Source organism: Homo sapiens, chromosome 14 (assembly GCF_000001405.40).
Source record: "Homo sapiens chromosome 14, GRCh38.p14 Primary Assembly".
Taxonomy (NCBI): Eukaryota; Metazoa; Chordata; class Mammalia; order Primates; family Hominidae; genus Homo; species Homo sapiens.
Genome location: NC_000014.9, coordinates 23,214,336 through 23,239,498, shown reverse-complemented (window position 1 = coordinate 23,239,498; position 25,163 = coordinate 23,214,336). Strand labels below are relative to the sequence as shown.

Below are 25,163 nucleotides of genomic sequence, written 5' to 3'. Positions count from 1 at the left end.
AGAGAAGATCACATATTAGCCACTTGGGACACATTTTATCTAAGGGAAATAGGGCTGATGAATGATGGTATGGTCTCAGCTTGTATACTTTCCTTCCACAGAAGGAAATATACTTTTCTTCTGCAGAAACTCAGAATCAGGCCAAGCATGGTGTCTCACACCTGTAATCCCAGCACTTTGGGAGGCCGAGGTGGGTGGATCACCTGAGGCCAGGAGTTCAAGACCAGCCTGGCCAACGTGGCAAAACTCCGTCTCTACTAAAAATAAAAGAAAATTAGCTGGGTGTGGTGGTGCACGCCTGTAACCCCAGCTACTTGGGAAGCTGAGGCATGATAATTGCTTGAACCCAGGAGGTTGCAGTGAGCCAAGATCGTGCCACTGCACTCCAGCCTGGGCGACAGAGTGAGACTCCATCTGAAAAAAAAGAAACTCAGAATCATAGATCTGATATGGACTTTGAAAAATTACTTAATGTTTGTTCAGTCCCAACATTTTTCAAAAGAGGTACCTGATATTCAGTAAAATTAAATGACTTGTCGAAAGTTCCATCTTTAGTTATTGGTCTCCTGATTCCCCATGTAAAGTTCTTGCTCCCACATTAAATAACTTTTGTGTTAGACATGGTAATCATATAGCCTGTATTTTCTGCCAATACCAATTTCATATACTTTGTTAAATACCTGAGTAAATGTGACTTTGTAAGGTTTCTTTGTGGGATTATTATTATTATTATTATTATTATTATTATTATTATTATTATTTTGAGACAGGGTCTGGCTCTGTCTCCAGGTTGGAGTGCAGTGGCAGATCAGGGCTCGCTGCAGCCTGGAACTCCTGGGCTCAAGCGATCTTCCCACCTCAGCCTCTGGAGTAGCTGGGACTACAGGCGAGCACCACCACGCCTGGCTATTTTTTATTTTTATTTTTATTTTTTGTAGAGACAAGGCCTCTCTGTGTTACCCAGGCTGGTCTGGAACTCCTGGACTCAAACGATCCTCCTTCCTTGGCCTCCCAAAGTGCTGGGATTACAGGCGGGAGTCACTGCACCGGGACTTTTCGTAGGATGTGTGTGTGTGTGTAACCGCTGAGGGATACAAACTTCGTAAGATTTACGATAAAAAATGTACTGAATAAACAGCTCAACGCAAACGCATCCCACAGTGCCACGAGCTTCGTTGTCCTATTTGTTCGATCGTGATACACTAACTTTCACCAGCAAGTGAGTCTAAAAAACCACTGAAAAGGCCCCGTTCTATATGCCCAGGTTTGTTTAAGGGCAGCAACAATGTCATCCCCTGAATTGACCAGATGAGCCCAACATAAAAAAGGCAGTGAACAGGGTGATTAAGGCGACCCTGAGGGCAAAATTCCCCTGCTTTCCAGAGGCGATGGGGCCTCAGCCGTCTCAAGCTTCTCAGTTCTTTTTCTGGCTACACTCCCTACCCGCTTGGCCGCTGTGATTCCAGAAAGCCTCAGATCTCAGGAAATCATCCAGTTCTCCTCACGAAGAGCTGGACATGGCGGGAAAGTAAACAGCTGGCTTGGCACCGGGTGAGGAAAGAGGCTGGGCGCAGCCGAGGCGGTGTGAGAGGTGTGGGCGGGGCCTGGCGGTATGCTAAATCAGTGGGCGTGGCTCCGTGGCGTGCGCGGGGCGTGGGCGGGGCCCGCAGAGGCTGTCACTGGGCTAGGAGCGGCTCGCGGTGGCGGGAGAGGGGTGTAGGAGACTTTTCCCAGCAGCCCAGGAAAATTCACCTCACTTAAAAGATTGGGGACAAATAAACACTGTAACCTAATCCCATACATGTTACTGTGGAAACAAAAAGGTGAAAATAAAACCTAATTAATGTTCCAATAAACGATGAGAACGCAATATAAATTGTGGTCATAAAGTGGGCGAAAACTTTTGCTTAATATTCTAAAATGAAATGAAAATAATGGGTGCTTTGAAAGAATAGCGTAAAATCGGAAACAGGAAAATTTAAAAATGATGCGGACAAAGAACAGTGTGATATTAATTGAGAACTAACAAATTTCAATTAAAAAAAGTCAACCTTTATTCAGAAATTTTTGGCCAGGGGCGGTGGCTCACGCCTGTAATCCCAGCACCTTGGGAGGCCGAGGCGGGCGGATCACTTGAGGTCAGGAGTTATAGACCAGACTGGCCAACATGGCGAAACCCCGCTTCTACTAAAAATACAAAAATTAGCCGAGTGTGGCGACACGCACCTGTAATCTCAGCTACTGAGGAGGCTGAGGCAGGAGAATCGTTTGAACCCGGAAGGCGGAGGTTGCAGTGAGCCGAGATCGCGCCACTGCACTTCAGCCTGGGAGACAGAGAGAGACTCCGTCTTTAAAAAAAAAAAAAAATTAGCCGGGTGTGGTGGCGGGTGCCCGTAGTCCCAGCTACTTAGGGAGGCTGAGGCAGGTGTATCACTTAATCCCACGGGGTCGAGGCTGCAGTTAGCTGTGTTCACGCCACTGCACTCCAACCTGGTTGAGGGAGCAAGACACTGCCTCAAACAAAAAAAAAAAAAAAAGAGAGAGACAGAATAAGATTGGCATCAGATTTCTCCACAGAAGCATTCTAGATAACAATGAAACAACATTTTCCAGATTTTCACGGAAACTATGATCCCAGAAATTTATATCCCCTTATATTGTGTTCAGGTATAAAGGCCACTGGCAAAAAGCATGCAAATGAGCTTTTCCTGAGGAATCCACTTAGAGTAGTAGTTCTCAAACTTTTTGGTCTCAGGCTTCCTTTACAAAATTATTGAAGACCCTCCAAAGAGCTTTTGTTTATGTAAATTGCATCTACCAATATTTACCAAATTAGCAATTAAAAGTGAGAAATTTTAAAATATTTATTATTTGAAATTTTTAAATATTATTTGAAAACAATAATAAACCCCATTAAATGTGTGTTTGTTTGTTGTTGTTGTTTGGGGTTTTTTTGCTTTTTGTTGTTGTTGTTGTTGTTTTTTGAAGCAGAGTCTCACTCTGTCGCCAGGGCTGGAGTGCAGTGGCGCCATCTCGGCTCACTGCAACCTCCGCCTCCTGGGTTCAAGCGATTCTCCTGCCTCAGCCTCCTGAGTAGCTGGGATTACAGGCGCCTGCCATTACGCCCAGCTAATTTTTTCTATTTTTAGTAGAGACGGGGTTTCACCGTGTTGGCCAGGCTGCTCTCGAACTCCTGACATCATGATCCACCTGCCTTGGTCTCCCAAAGTGCTGGGATTACAGGTGTGAGCCACCGCGCCTGGCCAAAATGTTAATATAAATAATCTATGGAAAATATGTTTTCCAAAACAAGAAAAATTTAGTGAGAAGAGTGGCATCGTTTTTACATTTTTGTAATCTCTTGCTATGTAGCTTAATAGAAAGCTGGTGGAGTCCTATATTTGCTTCTGCATTAACTTTTGCAGTACGCTGTTTTGGTTGGAGTGTGTGAAGAACATTTGGATTCACTCAAATATGTGGGGAAAGAGAATGGTATTTAAATGGCCTTTTCAGATAATTGTGAACATTTCTCTTTGATATCACATAAAAATTCAGGAAGTCTGAGTTAAAAGTTGATTGCAAAGTGGGATCTGAACCATATCAATGAACTTTTTATAGCCGGTTACATTAAAATTATTTGGTCTGTTTTGCACTTTAAATGGATCTTTTGCCCATGCACGATTTTGTAACATCATACATTTAGACCAAACTGGTCATTTCAAAAATTTTGGTTCACTGAGTTATACACATCAGTGCATTTTGTTATACAATATTAAATATTGACACAGTTCATTACACAATATAAAAAATCACTTTTGTTAATATCACTATCTATCTCATCAGGTAAGTATTTGAGTCTTGGGAAGCTGTCAAGCTGTCAGTTGCAGGTACAAGTTTTCCAAAGGTCTAATTTTCATCTGAAAGCTTGAATTTTATCATTGGCAACAAATACTGTCACTGGTTTTCCTTGAAGTGGCAAGGCAGTTTTGTTTATTTTTGAGAAAATGCCTACCAAATACCTAAGTCTGAATAGTTTGTATGTTAGATGTTCTTTCAAGTAAAAACAGTATTCCATGAAAAAAGTGATTAGCTCAGGTTACAAATCAAACTATTCCATAAATAGTTTTCTTAAATATAATTGTTTTTAAGAGATGGGCGTCTCCCTCTGCTGCCCAGGCTAGAGTTTAGTGGCACAATCATAGCTTGCTACAGCCTAGAATACCTGGGCTCAAGGGATCCTTCTGCCTCAGCCTCCTCCACCTTGCCTGGCTATTTTTTTTTTTTCCTGAGACAGAGTATTGCTCTGTCACCCAGGCTGGAGCGCAGTGGCACCATCTCAGCTCACTGCAACCTCCGCCCACTGGGTTCAAGCAATTCTCCTGCCTCAGCTTCCCAAGTAGCTGGGATTACAGGCATTTGCCACCACGCCTGGTTAATTTTTGTATTCTTAGTTGAGATGGGGTTTCACCATGTTGGCCAGGCTGGTCTCAAACTCTTGACCTCGTGATCCACCTGCCTCGGCCTCCCAAAGTGCTGGGATTACAGGTATGAGCCACCGTACCCAGCCCTAATTTTTAATATTTTTTTAAGAGACAAGGTCTCACTGTGTTGCCCAGGCTGGTCTCAAATTCCTGACCTCAAACCATCTTGCTGCCTCAGCCTCCCCAGCAGCTGGGATTACAGGCATGTAGCATCATGCCTGAGTAATCTTAATTCTACTTAAATAAAAGTTTTCACTGGAAAATATTTTAGTGCCATGTGGAGTGGGGCGTTAGCCCCATCCAATATTAAAATATATTATAAAACGTCTGTAATTTAAAGTGTGGTGTTGGTGCATAAACGTGTAGACCAATGAAACAGAATCAAGTCTAGAAATAGAACCAAGTACGTTAATAAATTTTAATTGGTAAGTGTGCATGGGGAATTGAATTTTTATATACATAGAATTGGGACAACTGAATAGCCATCTGAAAAAATATAAAATTGAGTCTGTTTCTCATACTGTTTACCAGGATAAATTTCAAATGGATCAGAAATCTAAACAGACAGGTACCAGACGAAAATAATAGTAAATACTCTTATAACCTAGGTGTGCAGGAAATCTTCCTAGGATCCAAAAATCTAGAAGAGAGAAAATATTGACAAATTTGACTAAGTAATTTTAAAAAAAACTTTTTGCATGTACACACACACACACACACGAAAAGTAAAGCACAAAGTGACAAATTACAAAAAAAATCAACTTAAATCCTAAAGGGCTAATAGCTTTAATATACAAAGAGCTTTTTAAAAAAGAAAACCAACAACTTAATAGAAATTTGAACAGTTGAAAAAAAAAAGAGACCAACAGTTTTCCTAGAAAATATCTTGGTTTTGAGTGTTCTGGGCTTTTTGAGTGTTCCTTCGTACACATGGTATACATGGCTGGAGTGCAAGTGCAGTGGTACTATCTCAGCTCACTGCAACCTCTGCCTCCCAGGTTCAAGCAATTCTCCTGCCTTAGCCTCCTGAGTAGCTGGAACTACAGGCACACACCACCAGGCCTGGCTAATTTTTGTATTTTTAGTAGAGACAGGGTTTCACCGTGTTGGCCAGGCTGGTCTCGAACTCCTGACCTCAGGTGATCCGCCCACCTTGGCTTCCCAAAGTGCTGGGATTACAGGCATGAGCCACCATGCCCAACCTACCCATTTTTAATTGGGTTGTTTATTTTCTTATTGTTGAGTTTTGAGAACTCTTTTTTTTTTTTTTTTTTTTGAGACAGGGTCTCACTCTGTTGCCCAGGCTGAAGTGCAGTGTCATGATTATGGCTCACTGCAGCCTCAACCTCCCAGGCCCGAATGATTCCCCTAACTCAGCCTCCCGAGTGGCTGGGACTACAAGCATGCACCACCATACCCGGCTAATTTTTCTATTTTTTTTTTTTTTTTTTTTTTGTAGAGATGGGGTTTCACCATGTTGCCCAGGCTGGTCTCAGACTCCTGGGCTCAACTGATCCTCCCACCTCAGCCTCCTAAAGTACTGGGATTATAGGCATGAGCCACCAAACCCAGATAAAATTTTCTTTTCTTTAAATATTCTTTTTTTTTTTTTTAATTGATCATTCTTGGGTGTTTCTCGCAGAGGGGCATTTGGCAGGGTCATAGGACAATAGTGGAGGGAAGGTCAGCCAATAAACATGTGAACAAAGGTCTCTGGTTTTCCTAGGCAGAGGACCCTGCGGCCTTCCGCAGTGTTTGTGTCGCTGGGTACTTGAGATTAGGGAGTGGTGATGACTCTTAACCAGCATGCTGCCTTCAAGCATCTGTTTAACAAAGCACATCTTGCACCGCCCTTAATCCATTTAACCCCGAGTGGACACAGCACATGTTTCAGAGAGCACAGAGTTGGGGGTAAGGTCATAGATCAACAGCATCCCAAGGCAGAAGAATTTTTCTTAGTACAGAACAAAATGGAGTCTCCTATGTCTACTTCTTTCTACACAGACACAGCAACAATCTGATTTCTCTGTCTTTTCCCCACCTTTCCCCCTTTTCTATTCCACAAAACCACCATCGTCATCATGGCCCGTTCTCAATGAGCTGTTGGGTACACCTCCCAGATGGGGTGGTGGCCGGGCAGAGGGGCTCCTCACTTCCCAGACGGGGCAGCTGGGCAGAGGCACCCCCACCTCCCAGACAGGGTGGCGGCCGGGCAGAGGCTGACCCCCCCCCCACCTCCCTCCCAGACGGGGCGGCTGGCCGGGTGGGGGCTGACCCCCCCACCTCCCTCCCGGACGGGGCGGCTGGCCGGGCGGGGGCTGACCCCCCACCTCCCTCCCAGACGGGGCGGCTGGCCTGGTGGGGGCTGACCCCCCAACTCCCTCCCGGACGGGGAGGCTGGCCGGGCGGGGGCTGACCCCCCAACTCCCTCCCGGACGGGGTGGCTGCTGGGCGGGGGCTGACCCCCACCTCCCTCCCAGAGGGGTGGCTGCTGGGCAGAGACGCTCCTCACTTCCCAGACGGGGCGGCTGCCGGGCGGAGGGGCTCCTCACTTCTCAGACGGGGCGGCTGCCGGGCGGAGGCGCTCCTCACTTCTCAGACAGGGCGGCTGCCGGGCGGAGGGGATCCTCACTTCTCAGATGGGGTGGCTGCCAGGTGGAGGGGCTCCTCACTTCTCAGACAGGGCAGCCGGGCAGAGACGCTCCTCACCTCCCAGATGGGGTTGCGGCCGGGCAGAGGCGCTCCTCACATCCCAGATGGGGCGGCGGGGCAGAGGCGCTCCCCACATCTCAGACGATGGGCAGCCGGGCAGAGACGCTCCTCACTTCTTAGACGGGATGGCGGCGGGGAAGAGGCCCTCCTCACTTCCCAGAGTGGGCAGCCGGGCAGAGGGGCTCCTCACATCCCAGACGATGGGCAGCCAGGCAGAGACGCTCCTCACATCCCAGACGGGGTGGCAGCCGGGCAGAGGCTGCAATCTCGGCACTTTGGGAGGCCAAGGCAGGCGGCTGGGAGGTGGAGGCTGTAGCTAGCCAAGATCACGCCACTGCACTCCAGCCTGGGCAACAACATTGAGCACTGAGTGAACGAGACTCCGTCTGCAATCCCGGCACCTCGGGAGGCCGAGGCTGGCAGATCACTCACGGTTAGGAGCTGGAGACCAGCCCGGCCAACACAGCGAAACCCCCTCTCCACCAAAAAAATACAAAAACCAGTCAGGCGTGGCGGCGCGTGCCTGCAATCGCAGGCACTGGGCAGGCTGAGGCAGGAGAATCAGGCAGGGAGGTTGCAGTGAGCCGAGATGGCAGCAGTACAGTCCAGCTTCGGCTCAGCATCAGAGGGAGACCATGGAAAGAGAGGGAGAGGGAGACCGTGGGGAGAGGGGAGAGGGGAGAGGGGAGAGGGGGAGCTCTTTAAATATTCTTATCTTTTCTTCTACTCTGAAAGGAAAATGGGGTACCTCTGGAAATTTTCTTCAAAAATTCTAGAAATCTAGATTTGTAATTTTGATTTTACATTTAGGTATATGATTCATTTGAGTTAATTTTCTACATGGTGTGAGGTATGGATTAAAGTTTGCATGTGCATATGTGGGTGTGTTTTGCATGTGGATATCCAATTGTTTCAGCACCATTTTTTTAAAAGATTAACTTTTCTCAACTAAATTGCCTTTGTCAAAAATTGATTGCCCAGAGAAAATAATTCCATTTGTGACAGCATCAAGAAGGATAAAATATTTAGGAATAAATTTAATCAAGGAGAGGCACAAGACTTGTTTGTACATAGAACACTACTTAATATTGTTTACAATAGCATCCAAAGCTATATACGGATTCAATGTCATCCCTATCAAAATTCCAACTATTTTTTCAGAAATTGAAAAATCCACCCTAAAATTAATATAAAATTTCAAAAAACTTAGAATAGTCAAAACAATCTTAAAAAGGAAAAAATTTGGAAGACTCATATTGCCCAATTTCAAAACCTACTACAAAGCTACTGTAATCAAAACAGTGTGTTTCTAGCATAAGGATAGACATATATAGACCAACAGAATAGAACTGAGAATCCAGAAATAAACCCTCACATCTATGGTCAGTTGATTTTTGACAAGGGTGTCAAGACCATTGAATAGGGGAAAGAACAGTCTCTGCAACAAACAGTGCTGGGAAAACTATGTCCATATGCAAAAGAATAAAGTTGAATCCTTACCTTACACCATATACAAAAATTAACTCAAAATGGATCAAAGACCTAAATGTATGGGTGAAAACTCTAAAACTCTTAGAAGAAAATATAGGGGAAAATCTTCATGACCTTGTATTTGGCAATGGTTTTTTTTTTTTTTTTTTTTTTTTTTTTTTGAGATGGAGTCTCGCTCTGTCGTCCAGGCTGGAGTGCAGTGGCGCGATCTCGGCTCACTGCAAGCTCCGCCTCCCGGGTTCACGCCATTCTCCTGCCTCAGCTTCCCGAGTAGCTGGGACTACAGGCCCCCGCCACCACACCCGGCTAATTTTTTGTATTTTTAGTAGAGACGGGGTTTCACCGTGTTAGCCAGGATGGTCTCGATCTCTTGACCTCGTGATCCACCCGCCTCGGCCTCCCAAAGTGCTGGGATTACAGGCGTGAGCCACCGCGCCCGGCCGGCAATGGCTTTTTAAATACAAAAATAGCACAGGCAACAGAAGAAAAATAAATAAAAGGGACTTAGTTAAAATTAAAAACTTTTGTGCAACAAAGGATACTATCAAGAAAGTGAAAGGCAACCCACAGAATGGGATAAAATATTAGTAAATCATATATCTGATAAGGTTTTAATATTCAAAATATAAAAAGAACTACAACTCTCTCTCTCTTCCTTTTTCCACCATTGTGGTGTGTATTCGACTCCGCTTCTCATCATGTCTTCTCACAAGACTTTCAGTATTAAGCAATTCCTAACCAAGAAACAAAAGCAAAATCATCCCATTCCTCAGTGGATTTGGATGAAAACTGATAATAAAATCAGGTACAACTTTAAAAGGAGACATTGGAGAAGATTCAAGCTGGATCTATAAGGAATTGTGCACGAGATGGCACACATATTTATGCAGTATCAAGCTCATAACCATCTTACCATATCAAGCTAAAAATGTCACCACTATCTGGACAGTTGGGCATGTTTTATTGGGAATATAGTTTTTCTGTTTCTTTATTTGCTGTGCGCTAGTAGTCTGGGTTCAGTAATAAATATGTGAGAACTCTTGTTTCAAAAAAAAGAACAACTCAACAACAAAAAAGTCAAACAACCCAATTAAAAATAGGCAAAAGATTTGAATAGACATTTCTACAAAGAAGATATAGAAGTGTCCAGCAGACACATGAAAAGATTCTCAATATAATTAGTCATAGGGGAAATGCAAATTAAAACCACAGTGAAATATCATTTCACATGTGGTGGGGTGGCTAGAATTTTCTAAATGAAAATATGTTTTAGGAGGATATGGAGAAATCAGAACCCTTGTACATTGCTGATGGGAATGTACAATGATGCACCTGCTTTGGAAAGCAATTTGGTGGCTCCTCAAAAAGTGAAAAATAGAACTATCCTGCCATGTGACCCAGCAATTCCATTCCTAGGTGTATACAAAATAATTTAAAACAGGGGCTCAAACAGATATGTGTACACCAATATTCCTACCAGCATTATTCACAATAACCAAAAGATAGAAACAACACAAATGTCCATTAGTAGATGAATGGATAAACAATGTGGTATATATATATATATATATATATATATATATATATATATATAAAATATTATTCAGCCATAAAGGAAATAAAGTTTTGATACATGCTACAACATGGATGAATCTTGAAAAAATTATGCTAAGTGAAATAAGCCAGACACAAAAAGAGAAATATTGTATAATCTCACTGAAATATCCAGAACAGTCAGATTTATAGAGACAGAAAGTAGATTAGAGGTTAGCAGGAACTAGGGGTATGAGAGATAGGAAGTAATTGCTTAATGGGTGAAGAGTTTCTGTTAGTGGTTATGAAAAATTATGGAAATAGAGATGATGATTGTACAACATTGTGAATGTACCTAATGCCACTGAATTGCACACTAACAATGGTTAAAATAGCAAATTTTATGTTATATATTTTACCGAAATAAAAAGGAAAATCAGTGTTCTATACATATTCAAGCCCATTTCTGCATGCTCTATTCTGTTCCACTGATTGATTTGTCTGTCTTGATGCCAATACCATACTGTCACTTACTGTAGCCTTATGATAAGTCTTGAAATGATGTAGTCTTGATCCTCTTTGTTCTTTCTTCTTCTTGTGTTTTTGTTTTGTTTTGTTTTGTTTTTTTGTTTTTTTAGAGAGTCTTGCTCTGTCACCCAGGCTGGATTGCGTTAATGTGATCACAAGTCACTGCAACCTGGAAGTCCTGGGCTCAAGTGATCCTCCCTGCTCATCCTCCCTGCTCATCCTCCCAAATAGTTAGGACTACAGGCACATGCCACCACACCTGTTAATTTTTTTTTTTTTTTTTTTTTTTTTGGTAGAGATAGGGTTTTACTATGTGGGCCAGGCTGGCCTCAAACTCCTGGCCTCAAGTGATTTTCCTGCCTTGGCCTCCCAAAGCTCTGGGATTACAGCTGTGATCCACTGCGCCTGGCCAGCCTGTTCTTTTGCAGAGTTGCTTTGACCATTCTAACTCATTTGCATTTCCAAATGAATTTTATTATCAGATAAACAATTTCTAAAAAGAGCCTGATGAGTTTTTTTTTTAGACAGAGTTTCGCTCTCGTCACCCAGGCTGGAGTGTGATGGCACGATCTCAGCTCACCGCAATCTCCACCTCCACCACCTTCAAGCAATTCTCCTGCCTCAGCCTCCTGAGTAGCTGGGATTACAGGCATGTGCCACCACGCCTGGCTAATTTTGTATTTTTAGTAGAGACGAGGTTTCTCCATGTTGGTCAGGCTGGTCTTGAACTCCCGACCTCAGGTGATCCACCTGCCTCGGCCTCCCAAAGTGCTGGGATTACAGGCTTGAGCCACCATGCCTGGCATTGCCTGATGAGATTTTTAAAAAACTTTTATATTTTTAGAACTTTTTATTGACCAGGTGTGGTGACTCAAGCCTGTAATCCCAGCACTTCGGGGGGCTGAGGTGGGTGAATCACCTGAGTCCAGGAGTTTGAGATCAGCCTGGCCAATGTAGTAAAATCCTGTCTCTACAAAAAGTACAAAATTAGCCAGGCGTGCTGATGCATGCCTGTAGTCCCAGCTACTAAGGAGGTTGAGGTGGGAGAATCTCTTGAGCCTGCAGGTTGAGGCTGCAGTGAGCAGTGATTGCACCACTGCCTCCAGCCTGGGTGACAGGGCGAGAACTAGTCTCAAAACAAACAAAAAAACACTTTTTGTTCGATTTAATGTATATTCAATGTATATTGACATTTAATGTATATTCAATGTATATTGATGTATAATATACATACAGAAGTATGCCTATTTCTTGCACACATAGCTTACTGAATTTCCACAAACTCAACACACCCATGTAATCAGCCACCCTGATCAGAAATCATAACATTCCCAGCACCCAGAAAACCCCTGTGCCCGCTTCCATACACCATCTCCCCTAAAGGCAACCATTGTCCTGCTTTCTAATACCATAAATTGTAACTTTTTGTTTTAAAATAATTACAGAGAGAAGGTTCTTTGAGCACAAACTCCTCTTCTCCATTCCCTGATCAACGAATAAAGTTTCTACTCCGTTTTACCAAAAAAAAAATTATAATAATAAAATAAAATAGCTATAGATTCATAGGAAATTGCCAAAAGTAGTGTAGAAAGGTTCCATATACCCTTGACTCATTTATTTCCCCAACGATAACTTCTTATATAAATATAATACAATATCAAAACCAATAAATTGACATTGGTACCATCCATAGACCTCATGACATTACTGATTTCATTAGTCTTACTTATACTCATTTTTGTGTGTGTTCACAATTTTATCACATGTAAAGATTTGTGAGGCCACCACCACAATCAAGAAACAGACTGAAGGGCCGGGTGTGATGGCTCATGTCTGTAATCTTAGCAGTCTGAGAGGCCAAACCCGGAGGATTACTTGAGCTCAGGAGTTCAAGACCAGCCTGAGCAACATAGACCTCCTCTCTATTAAAAAAAAAAAAAAGAAGAAGAAGAAAGAAGGAAAGGAAAAAAAAAGAAGAGAGGAGAGGAGACGGGAGGGGAGGGGAGGGGAGGGGACTAGCCGAGATAAGACGAGACTGGTCCAGCACCACGAAGATGCCTTGTGCCATCTCTTACCATCACCCACCGGTTTTCCGTGTCCCCTTTTCTTTTTGTTTTGTTTTTGATACAGAGTCTCGCTCTGTCACCCAGGCTGGAGTGTGGTGGCGCGATCTCGGCTCACTGCAAGCTCCGCCTCCCGGGTTCACCCCATTCTCCTGCCTCAGCCTCCCCAGCAGCTGGGACTACAGGCGCACGCCGCCATGTCCGGCTAATTTTTTTGTATTTTTAGTAGAGATGGGGTTCCACCGTGTTAGCCAGGATGGTCTCGATCTCCTGACCTGGTGATCCGCCCGCCACAGCTTCCTAAAGTGCTGGGATTACAGGCGTGAGCCACCGCGCCCGGCCCCGTGTTCCTATTTATTTATTTATTTATTTAATTTTTTTTTTTTTTTTTTTTGAGACGGTTTCTTGCTCTGTCGCCCAGGCTAGAGTGCAGCGAGCGATCTTGGCTCACTGCAACCTCCGCCTCCTGGGTTCAAGCGATTCTCCTGCCTCAGCCTCCCGAGTAACTGGGATTACAGGCACCCGCCACCACACCCTGCTAATTTTTGTATTTTTAGTACAGACGGGGTTTCACCATCTTGGCCAGGCTGGTCTCCAACTCCTGACCTCGTGATCCACCCGCCTCAGCCTCCCAAAGTGCTGAGATTACAGGCGTGAGCCACCGCGCCCAGCCGAGTTTTTTAATTTTTTAAAAAATTTTTCATTTTTGTGGGTACATACTTGGTGTGTATACTTACAGGGTACATGAGATATTTTGCAATGTGTAATAGTGCAATGAGTAATATTCACATCATGAAAGATAGGGTATCGATCCCCTCGTGCTTTTATCCTTTGTGTTACAAACAATCCAATTATACTTTTAGTTATTTTTTAATGTACAATACTCTTTTAGTTATTTTTAAATGTATGATTAAATTATTATTCACTATAGTCACCCTGTTATGCTATCAAATACTAGGTCTTATTTATTCTTTCTATTTTTTTTGGTATGCATTAACTATCCCCATCTCCTCCCCACCCCATCCCCACTACCCTTCCCCGCCTCTAATAACCATCCTTCTATTCTCTATCTTCATGAATTGTTTTGATTTTTGATCCCACAAATAAATGAGAACATGAAATGTTTGTCTTTCTGTGCCTGGCTTTTTTCACTTAACATAATGACCTCCAGTTCCACCCATGTTGCTACAAATGACAGAATCTCATTCTTGTTTATGGCTGAATAGTACTCTACTGTATATAAGTACCACATTTTCTTTATCCATTCATCTGTTGATGGACACTTAAGTTGCTTCCAAATCTTGGCTATTGTGAACAGTGCTGCAACACACAAGGGAGTGCAGATATCTCTTTGATATACTGATTTCCTTTCTTTTGGGTATATACCCAGTAGTGGGATTGCTGGATCATGTGGTAGCTCTATTTTTAGTTTTTTGAGGAATCCCCAAACTGTTCTCCACAGTGGCTGTACTAATTTACATTCCCACCAACAGTGTACAAGGGCTCTCTCTTCTCCACATCCTCGCCAGCACTTGTTATTGCCTGACTTTTGAATAAAAGCCATTTTAACTGGGGTAAGATGATATCTTATTGTAGGTGTTTTTTTTTTGTGTGGGGTGGCATCAAGGTGTCTTAATCTGATCACTGTAGTTTCAATTTGCATTTATGTGATCAATGATGTTGAGCACCTTTTCATATGCCTGTTTGCCATTTGTATGTCTTCTTTTGAGAAATGTCTACTCAAATCTTTTGCCCACTTAAAAATCAGATTATCAGATTTTTTCCCATAGAGTTGTTTGAGCTCCTTATATAGTCTAGTTATTAATCCCTTGTCAGATGGAAAGTTTGCAAATATATTCTCTCATTCTGTGGATTGTCTGTTCACTTTGTTGATTGTTTCCTTTGCTGTGCAGAAGCTTTTTAACTTGATGTGATCCCATTTGTCCATTTTTGTTTTGGTTGCCTGAGCTTGTGGGGTATTACACAAGAAATTTTTGCCCGGACCAGTGTCCTGGAAAGTTTCCCCAATGTTTTCTTGAAGTAGTTTCATAGTTTGAGGTCTTAGATTCAATTATTTAATTCATTTTGATTTGACTTTTGTGTATGGGCAAGAGCTAGGGGTTTCGTTTCATTCTTTTGCATATGGACATCAAGTTTTCCCAGCACTATTTGCTGAAGAGACTGTCTTTTCCCCAGTGTACGTTGTTGGCATCCTTGCCCAAAATGAGTTCACTGTTGTTGTGTGGATTTGTTTCTGGGTTCTCTAGTTTGTTCCATTGGTCTATGTGTCTGGTTTTATGCTAGTAGCATGCTGTTTTGGTTACTTTAGCTCTGCAGTATAATTTGAAGTCAGATAATATGATTCCTCCCTTTTTGTTCTTTTTGCTCAGGATAGCTTTGGCTATTCTGGGTCTTCTGTTGTTTCATACAAATTTTAGGATAGCTTTTTTTTTTTGACATTCTATATTTGTGGAGAATGTCATCGGTATTTTGATAAGAATTGCATTGAATCTGTAGATTACTTTGGGTAGCATGGACATTTTAACAATGTTGATTCTTCCAATCCGTGAACATGAAATATCTTTCCTTTGTGTGTATGTGTGTTCTCCTCAATTTCTTTCATCAATGTTTTATAGTTTTCTTCATAGAGATCTTTTACTTCTTTGGTTAATTCCTCGGTAATTAATTTTATATGTGGCTGTTGTAAATAAGATTACTTTTTTATTTCTCTTTCAGATTATTCACTGTTGGCATATAAAAAGTTACTGGTTTTTGTATGCTGATTTTGTATCCTGCAACTTTACTGGATTTTTAAAAATCAATTCTAATAGTTTTTGGTGGAGTCTTTAAGTTTTTCTAAATATAAAATTATGACAACTGCAAACAAGGATAATTTGACCTTTTCCTTTCCAATTTGGATGCCCTTTATTTCTTTCTCTTGTCTGATTACTCTAGCTAAGACTTCCAGTCCTATGTTGAATAACAGTGGTGAAAATGGGCATTCTTATCACATTCCAGATCTGAAAAGAAAGGCTTGGCCGGGCGCGGTGGCTCACGCCTGTAATCCCAGCACTTTGGGAGGCTGAGGCGGGCAGATCACGGGGTCAGGAGATCGAGACCATCCTGGCTAACATCGTGTAACCCCGTCTCTACTAAAAATACAAAAAAATTAGCCGGGCTTGATGGCGGGCGCCTGTAGTCCAGCTACTCGGGAGGCTGAGGCAGAAGAATGGCGTGAACCCGTGAGGCGGAGGTTGCAGTGAGCCGAGATCATATCACTGCACTCCAGCCTGAGCGACAGAGCAAGACTCCATCTCAAAAAAAAAAAGGAAAGGCTTTCAGTTTTTCTCCATTCAGTGTAATATTAGCTGTGGGTCTGTCATATGTGGCTTTTATTATATTGAGGTATCATTCTTCTATACCCAGTTTTTTAAGGGTTTTTTTGTCATGAAGTGACATTGAACTTTATCAAGTGCTATTTCAGCATCAATTGAAATGATCATATGGTTTGTCCTTCGTTCTATTGATATGATGTACGACGTATATTGATTTGCATATCTGAACCATCCTTGCATCCCTGAGATCTCAGTTGATCATGATGAACAATCTTTTCTTTTCCTTTTTTTTTTTTTTTTTGAGACGGAGTTTCACTCTTGTTGCCCAAGCTGGAGTTCAATGGCGCAATTTTGGCTCACTGCAACCTTTGCCTCCCAGGTTCAAGCGATTCTCCTGCCTCAACTTCCTGAGTAGCTAGGATTACAGGTGCGTGCCACCATGCCCGGCTAATTTTTTGTATTTTTAGTAGAAACGGGGGTTCACCATGTTAGCCAGGCAGGTCTCGAACTCCTGACCTCAGATGATCCCCCCGCCTCAGCCTCCCAAAGTGCTAGGATTACAGGTATGAGCCACCTCACCCAGCTGATGAACAATCTTTTTAATGTATTGTTGAATTTGGTTTACTAGCATTTTCGCATCAATATTCATCAGAGATATTGGCCATAGTTTTCTTTTTCTGATGTTTCTTTGTCTGGTTTTGGTATAGGGGAAATACTGGCCTCATAGAATGAGTTTGGAAGTATTCCCTCCTCCTCTACTTTTCAGAACAGTTTGAATAGGATTGGTAGTAGTTCTTTAAATGTTTGGTAGAATTCAGCAATGAAGCCATTGGGTCTCAGGCTTTTCTTTATTGGGAGACTTTTTATTGTGACTTCTATCTTGTTACTTGTTATTTTTCTGTTTAGGTTTTGGTTTTCTTCATAGTTCAATCTTGGTAGGTTGTATATGTCTAAAAATTTATCCATTTCTTCTAGATTTTCCAATTTATTGACATATAGTTGTTCATAGTAGCCATTAATAACCCTTTGAATTCCTGTGGTATTAGTTATGTCTCCTTTTTCTTCTCTGATTTTATTTCTTTGGGTCTTCTTTTTTTTTCTTATTCAGTCTGGCTAAAAGTTTATCAATTTTGTTCATCTTTTCAAAAGAACTTTTTTTCTGTTTCATTGACCTGTTGTATTGTTTTCTTCATGTCAAATTCATTTATTTCTGCTCTGATCCATATTTTTGCTTTTTTTCTCCTAATTTTGGGTTTGGTTTGCTCTTGCTTTTCTAATTCTTTAAGATAATCATTAGGTTATTTGTTTGAAGTTCTTCTTCCTTTTTGATGTAGACACTTATAGCTATACATTTCCCTCTTAATACTGTTTTCACTATATCCCATAGGTTTTGGTATGTTGTGTTTCCATTATCACTTGTTTCAAGGCACTTTTCAGTTTCCTTCTTAATATCTTCATTGGCCCACTGTTCATTCAGAAGCATACTGTTTAATTTCCATGTGTTCATATACTTTCCAAAATTCCTCCTGTTATTGATTTTTAGTTTTATTCCACTGTGGTCAGAGAAGATGCCTGATATTATTTCAGTTTTTTTAAAGTTTTCAGATTTGTTTGGTGACCTAACATATCGTCTATCCTTAAGAATTACCCATGCGCTAAAAAGAAGAATGTGTATTCTACAGCTGTTGGATGAAATGTTCTGCAAATGTTTATTAGGTTCATTTGTTCAGTATTACAGATTAAGTCTGATGTTTGTTGATTTTCTACCTGGGAGATCTGTCCAATGCTGAAAATGGAGTGTTGATATCTCCAGCTATTACCGTATTGGAGTCTGTCTTTCTCTTTAGCTCTAATAATATTTGCTTTATATATCTGGGTACTCTAGCATTGGGTGCATATATACTTACAATTGTTACACTCTCATGCTGAATTGACCCCTTTATCATTATAGAATGACTTTGTCTCTTCTTACAGTTTTTGTCTTGAAATCTATTTTGTCTTTTATAACTATAGCTATTCTTGCTCTTTTTTGGTTTCCATTGTCATGGCACATCTTTTTACATCCCTTTATCTATGTGTATCTGTATAAGTGAAGCGTGTTTCTTTCTTTTTTTTTTTTTTTCCTATTTTCAGTAGAGACAGGGTTTCACCATGCTGGCCAGGCTCGTCTCAAACTCCTGACCTCAAGTGATCTGTCCACCTCAGCCTCCCAAAGTGCTGGGATTATAGGCGTGAGCCACTGCGCCTGGCCTGAAGTGTATTTCTTCTAGGTGACAGATCATTGTGTCTTTTTTTCATCCATTCAGCCACTTTTGATTGGAGAGTTTAGTCCATTTACATTCAATGTTATTATTGATAAATAGCAGCTTACTCCTGCCATTTTATTTGTTTTCTGGTTGTTTTACAGTCTTCTCTTCCTTTTTTCCTTCCTTCCTCTCTTCCTTTTAGTGAAGGTGATTTTCTCTGGTGGTATGCTTTAATTTCCTGCTTTTATTTTTTGTGTATTTGTTTTTTGTTTTGTTTTGTTTTTTTTGATGGAGTCTTGCTCTGTCTCCCAGGCTGGAGTGCAGTGGTGCAATCTCGGCTCACTTCAAGTTCCATCTCCCAGGTTCACGCCATTCTCCTGCCTCAGCCTCCTGAGTAGCTGGGACTACAGGTGCCCGCCACCACGCCCAGCTAATTTTCTGTATTTTTAGTAAAGATGGGATTTCACCGTGTTAGCCAGGGTGATCTCGATCTCCTGACCTCGTGATCCACCTGCCTCAGCCTCCCAAAGTGCTGGGATTACAGGCGTGAGCCACCGAGCCCGGCTGTTTTGTTTTTTGAGACAGAGTCTCGCTATGTTGCCCAGGCTGGAGTGCAGTGGTGTGATCTCGGCTCACAGCAACCTCCATCTCCTGGGTTCCAATAATTCTTGTGTCTCAGCCTCCCAAGTAGCTGGAACTACAGGTGTGCACCACCAGACCCAGCTAACTTTTGTATTTTTAGTAAAGATGGGGTTTTGCCATGTTAGCCAGGCTGGTCTTGAACTCTGGGCCTCAAGCAATCCACCCACCTCGACCTCCCAAAGTGCTGAAATTACAGGCATAAGCCACCTTGCCTGGCCTTGTTGTATGGTTTTTGTTTTTGTTTTTGTTTTTGTTTTTGTTTTTGTTTTTGTTTTTGTTTTTCCCGAGACAGTTTTGCTCTTGTTGCCCAGGCTGGAGTACAATGGTGCCATCCAGGCTCACTGCAACCTCTGCCTCCCAGGTTCAAGGGATACTCGTGCCTCAGCCTCTGGAGTAGCTGGGATTACAGGCATGTGCCACCATGTCTGGCTAATTTTTGTATTTTTGGTAGAGATGGAGTTTCACCATGTTGGCTAGGCTGGTCTCGAACTCCTGACGTCAAACGATCCACCTGCCTCGGCTTCCCAAAATGCTGGGATTACAGGTGTGAGCCACCGTGCCCAGGCCCTTGTTGTGTGTTTTTTTGATTTGAGGTTATCGTGAGGCTTGCAAATATTATCTTAGAACCCAATATTGTAAACTGATGACAACACTGATTGCATATACAAACAAACACACTAAAAGAAAACTAATAAAGGCTGGGAGTGGTGGCTCATGTCTGTAATCCCAGCACTTTGGGAGGCTGAGGCAGGCAGATCACCTGAGGTCGGCAGTTTGAGACCAGCCTGACCAACATGGTGAAACCCCATCTCTACTAAAAATACAAAAATTAGCTGGGCATGGTGGTGCACGCCTATCATTCCAGCTACTTGGGAGGCTAAGGCACAAGAATCACTTGAACCCAGGTGGCAGAGGTTGCAGTGAGCCGAGATCTTGCCACTGCACTCCAGTCTGCGCGACAGAGTGAGACTGTCTCAAAAAAAAAAAAAACTAGAAGGAGAAGAAGGAGAGCGCTACACTTCAACTTCTTTCCTCTGCTTTTAAACTTTTTGTTCTTTCTCTTTATGTTTTATTGCACTGTCTTTGTCTTAAAAAGCTGTTGTTGTTATTTTTTATTAGTTCATCATTTAGTCTTTCTATTTAAGACAAGAGTAGAAACCACCATTACAGTGTTATACTATTCTGTGGTTTTCTGGGTACTTACCAGTGAGTTTCGTACCTTCCGATGATTTCTTCTTGCTCATTAGCATCTTTTTCTTTCAGATTGAAGAACTCCATTTAGCATTTCTTGTAAGACAGTTCTGGTGTTAATGAAATCCCTCAGCTTTTGTTTGTCTGGGAAGGCCTTTATTTCTCCTTCATGTTTGAAGGATATTTCACTGAATATATTCTAAGGTAAAAGTTTTTTTCTTCAGCATTTTAAATATGTCATGCCACTCTCTCCGGGCTTGTAAGTCTTCACTGAAAAGTCTGCTGCCAGACATATTGGTGCTCTATTTTGTTATTTGTTTCTTTTCTCCTCGTACTTTTAGAATCCTTTTTTTTAATCCTTGACCTTTGGGAGTTTGATTATTAAATGCCCGGAGGTACTCTTCTTTGGGTTAAATCTGTTTGGTGTTCTATAACTTTCCTGTACTTGAATGTTGATATCTTTCTCTAGGTTTAGGAAGTTCTCTGATATAATCCTTTGAATAAACTTTCTACCCCTAGCTCTCTTTCTCTACCTCCTCTTTAAGGTTACCTCCTCTTTAAGGCCAATAACTCACATTTGCCCTTTTGAGGCTATTTTCTAGATCTTGTAGGTGTGCTTTATTGTTTTTTATTTTCTTTCGTCTCCTCTGACTCTGTATTTTCTTTTGAGACAGCATCTCACTTCTGTCACCCAGGCTAGGGTGCAGTGGTGTGATCATGGCTCACTGCAGCCTCAACTTCCCAGACTCACATGATTCCTTCTTCTCTGACTCTGTATTTTCAAATAGCTTGTCTTCAAACTCACTAATTCTTTCTTCTGCTTGATCAATTCTACTTTTAAGAGATTACTTTTAAGAGGCTTTCTTCAGCATGTTAATTGCATTCTTCTTTTTATTTATTTTTTTTTTTGAGATAGACTCTCACTCTGTCACCCAGGCTATAGTGCAGAGGTGCAATCTTGGCTCACTGCAACCTCCACCTCCCAGGTTCAAGCAATTCTCCTGTCTCAGCCTCCTGAGTAGCTGGGACTACAGGTGTGTGCCACCACGCCCGGCTAATTTTTTGTATTTTTAGTAGAGACGGGGTTTCACCGTGTTAGCCAAGAGGGTCTCGATCTCCTGACCTCGTGATCCGCCCACCTCAGCCTCCCAAAGTGCTAGGATTACAGGCATGAGCCACAGCGCCTGGCCTGCAATTTTCAACTCTAGAATTTCTGCTTGATTCTTTTTAATTATTTCAATCTCTTTGTTAAATGTATCTAATAGAATTCTGAATTTCCTCTCTGCATTATCTTGAATTTTTTTGAGTTCCTTAAAACAGCTATTTTGAATTCTCTGCCTCAAAAGTCATATATCCCTGTTTCTCCAGTATTGATCCCTGGTGCCTTATTTAGTTCATTTGATGAGGTCATGTCTCCCTGGATGGTGTTGATGCTTGTAGATGTTCATCAGTGTCTGAGAACTGGTGAGTTCGTTATTATAGTCTTCGTGGTCTGGGCTTGTTTGTGCCTGTCCTTCTTAGGAAGGCTTTCTAGGTATTCAAACAGACCTGGGTCCCAAGCCCTGTAATACTGTGATTTTTGCAGACTCATAGAAGTACCACCTTGGTGGTCTTGGATGTGATCTGGAAGAATTCTATGGATTACCAAGCAGAGACTCTTATTCTTTTCCCTTACTTTCTCCCCCACCCCAAAATGGAAGCTCTCTCTCTGTGTGCTCAGCAGCATGGAGCTGTGGGTGTGGCGATGCAAGCACCCATGTGGCAACCACCACTGGGACTGTGCTGGGTCAGACATGAAGCCAGCACAGCACTATTTCTTGGCCAAGGCCCTTCTCTTCAGGGCAGCGAGTTCCCCAGGACTCAGAGGTGTCCAGAGATGCTCTCTGGGAACCAGGAATTGAAGTTAAAAATCTTAGCAGTTTAGCTGATGTCCTAGTGCAGCTAAGCTGGCACTCACACCACAATATAAAGTTCTTCCCGCTCTTCCCTCCCCTTTCCACAGGCAGAGGAGCCCCCCCCCCACCACTGCCACCACTGCCACCACTGGTCTATGGTGGTTCTGCCAGGCCACTGCTGATGTTAACTTAAAACCCAGGAGCTTCTCTGTCAGCTTGTGGTGAATTCTGCCAGGCCTAAGACTCACCCTTCAGGGCAGGGGGCTCCACTCTGGTCCATAGCAGGTTCAGAAATGCTGTCCAAGAGCCTAGGCCTGGACTCAGGGACCCCGGGAACCTTCTTGTTGCTTTACCCTTCTGTGCCTGTCCCCATTCTTAACATCTGTCAGTCACTAATCTGCTCTCCAGTTCTATAATTTTATCATTTAAAATGTTGTATAAGTGGAATCATACAATCTGTAACCTTTGAGATTGGTCTTTTTTTTTTTTTTTTTTTTTTTTTGAGACAGGGTCACATTCAGTCACCCACACTAGGATGCAGTAGGGCAATCTCAGCTCACTGCAACCTCTGTTCCCCAGGCTTGAGCAATCTTTCCACCTCAGCTTCCCAAGTAGCTGAGACCACAGATGCATGCCACCACATCCAGCTAAGTTTTGGATTTTTGGTAGAGATGGGGTTTCACCATGTTGCCCAAGCTTGTCTTGAACTCCTAAGCTCAAGCAATCTGCCTACCTTGGCCTCCCAAAGTGCTGGGATTACAGGCGTGAGCCACCACACCCAGCCAGATTGGCCTTATTATTTTTTTTTTTTTTTACTTAGCATAATTTATTTGTTTGGAAATTGTGCTCGGTCATGTTTGTTTTTTAATCTGTTCTGTCGACGTCTATCTTTTGATTGATACAGTTAAACCATTTAAATTTAATGTACTTATTGATATGTTAGGGATTAAGTATGCTATTTGATTCTTTGTTTTCTGTATGTTCCTCTGTTTTTTTATTCCTCTGTTTCACTTCTTTTTGCTTTTTTGTAGGTTACTTGAACATTGTTTAGAATTGCATTTTTATTTATTTATAATGTTTTGGAATGTATCATCTTGTATAGATTTTGTTTTGTTTTGTTTTGTTTTTGTTTTTTTGAAATGGAGTCTCGCTCTGTCACCCAGGCTGGAGTGCAGTGGCACGATCTTGACTCACTGCAAGCTCCGCCTCCCAGGTTCACGCCATTCTCCTGCCTCAGCCTCCAGAGTAGCTGGGACTACAGGCACCCGCCACCACACTCAGCTAATTTTTTTTATTTTTAGTAGAGATGGGGGTTTCACCGTGTTAGCCAGGATGGTCTCGATCTCCTGATCTCGTGATCCGCCCGCCTTGGCCTCCCAAAGTGCTGGGATTACAGGCATGAGCCACCACACCCGGCAAATGTTTTAATGGTTGCTCTAGAGATTACATTATACATGCATAAAATAACTCAGTCTAGTGGTGTCAATGTAATTCAATATGAAACATAATTAGATAACTCACTAAGAATGGATAAGGACTAGGAGAAGGATAGTCAACATTTACCCATGTTTTTACTCTTTCTGTTGTTCTTTTTTCACTAATTGTGTTCCATGTGTCTTTCGTTTATCATTTCCTTTCTGTTTGAAAAATTTTCATTAGCCATTCTTTTAGGGTACATCTGCTCATGACCCCTTTTCTTAGTTTTCCTTCATTTGGGAATGTCTTGAGTTCACCTTATTCCTAAAGAATATTTTTGCTGGGTATAGAATTCTGGATGGACAGTTCCTTTCTTTCAGCACTTGAAGAATGTTGTGCAGTTTTCTTTGGGCATTGATGATTTCTGTTTGTTTGTGTGTGTGTTTGTTTGTTTGTTTAAAGATACAGAGTCTTGCTCTGTCACCCAGGCTAGAATGCTGTGACACAATCATGTCTCATTGTAAGCTCAAATTCCTGGGTTTAAGAATTGATGGTTTCTAAGGAGAAATACACTGTCATTTGAATCTTTGTTTCTCCATAGGAAACTGTATTAGTCTGTCTTGATGCTGCTATAAAGAACTGGGAAATTTATAAAGAAAAGAGATTTAATTGACTCACAGTTCTGCACGGCTAGGGAGGACTCAGGAAACTTACAATCATGGCAAAAAATGAAGGAGAAGCAAGGCACACCTTACATGACAACAGGAGAGGCAGAGGGGTGGGGGGAACTGCCAAACACTTTTAAACCATCATGTCTCATGAGAACTCACTCACCATCATGAGAACAGTATGGGGGAAACTGCCCGCATGATCCAATCACCTCCCACCAGGTCCCTCCCTCAACACATTGGAATTACAATTCAATTCAAGATGAGATTTGTGTGGGGACACAGAGCCAAATCATATCAGTAATGTATCATTCCTCTCTAGCTATCAAGACTTTGTCTTTATTTTTTTCTGAAAATTATTAGTGTTAATTATGATATGTCTTGGCATGGATTTATTTGGGTTTATTCTTCTTGAAGTTCACTCAGCTTTTTGAATTTGTGGCCTTATTTCTTTCAACAGATTTGGAAAGGTTTCAGCCATTATTTCTTCTAATATGTTTTCATTTTTTCTCCTCTTTTTCTCCTCTTTTTCTGGGACTACAATGACACAAATGTTAAATCTGATTTCTGAAGTCCTGACATTAGTTATGCCCGTTTTCTCTCTATTTTGATTATTATTATTATTATTTTATCTTCAAGTTCACTGACTTTCCTATGCTTTATTCATTCTGTTATTGATCCTATCCAATGAAGTTTAAACATTTTTTTGGTTATATTATTCAGGTCTGAGGTTTCTATTTGGTTGTCCTTTTTTTAAATTAAATTAATTTAATTTTAAAATTTTAATTTAATTTAATTATTGGGGGGACTGAGTCTCACTCTGTTGCCCAGGCCGGAGTACATTGGCGCAATTTGGGCTCACCGCAACCTCCACCTCCTGGGTTCAAGCGATTCTCCTGACTCAGCCTCCCAAGTAGCTGAGATTACAGGCATGTACCACCATGCCCAGCTAACTTTTGTAT

At 42.0% G+C, this 25,163-nt stretch overlaps 1 protein-coding gene and 1 pseudogene across 7 annotated transcripts in view, besides 1 other annotated feature; one reads left to right on the top strand and one right to left on the bottom strand.

Annotated features, from left to right (window-relative positions):
* RNF212B (ring finger protein 212B) overlaps positions 1-25,163 on the bottom strand; it is an 88,142-nt gene that overhangs the window by 33,979 nt on the left and 29,000 nt on the right. For 3 of the 7 annotated variants that reach the window (NM_001282322.3, XM_011536328.3, XM_011536319.3), the window contains exon 1: positions 1,444-1,563. The exons of the other annotated variants lie outside the window; for them this stretch is intronic. The gene's annotated coding sequence lies outside the window, so the exon portion shown is untranslated. Of the gene's footprint in view, positions 1-1,443; positions 1,564-25,163 lie in introns of those variants that run through there. 7 annotated transcript variants of the gene reach the window in all.
* Positions 1,509-1,873: a silencer, noted in NCBI's record as "fragment chr14:23706835-23707199 (GRCh37/hg19 assembly coordinates)". NCBI's record gives its function as "represses an EF-1alpha promoter that drives an FKBP-Casp9 reporter gene in an ReSE screen in phorbol 12-myristate 13-acetate-treated (for megakaryocytic differentiation) K562 erythroleukemia cells {active_cell/tissue: K562(+PMA)}" and the evidence as "EXISTENCE:reporter gene assay evidence [ECO:0000049][PMID:32094911]".
* On the top strand, positions 9,367-9,731 carry RPL39P2 (ribosomal protein L39 pseudogene 2; annotated as a pseudogene).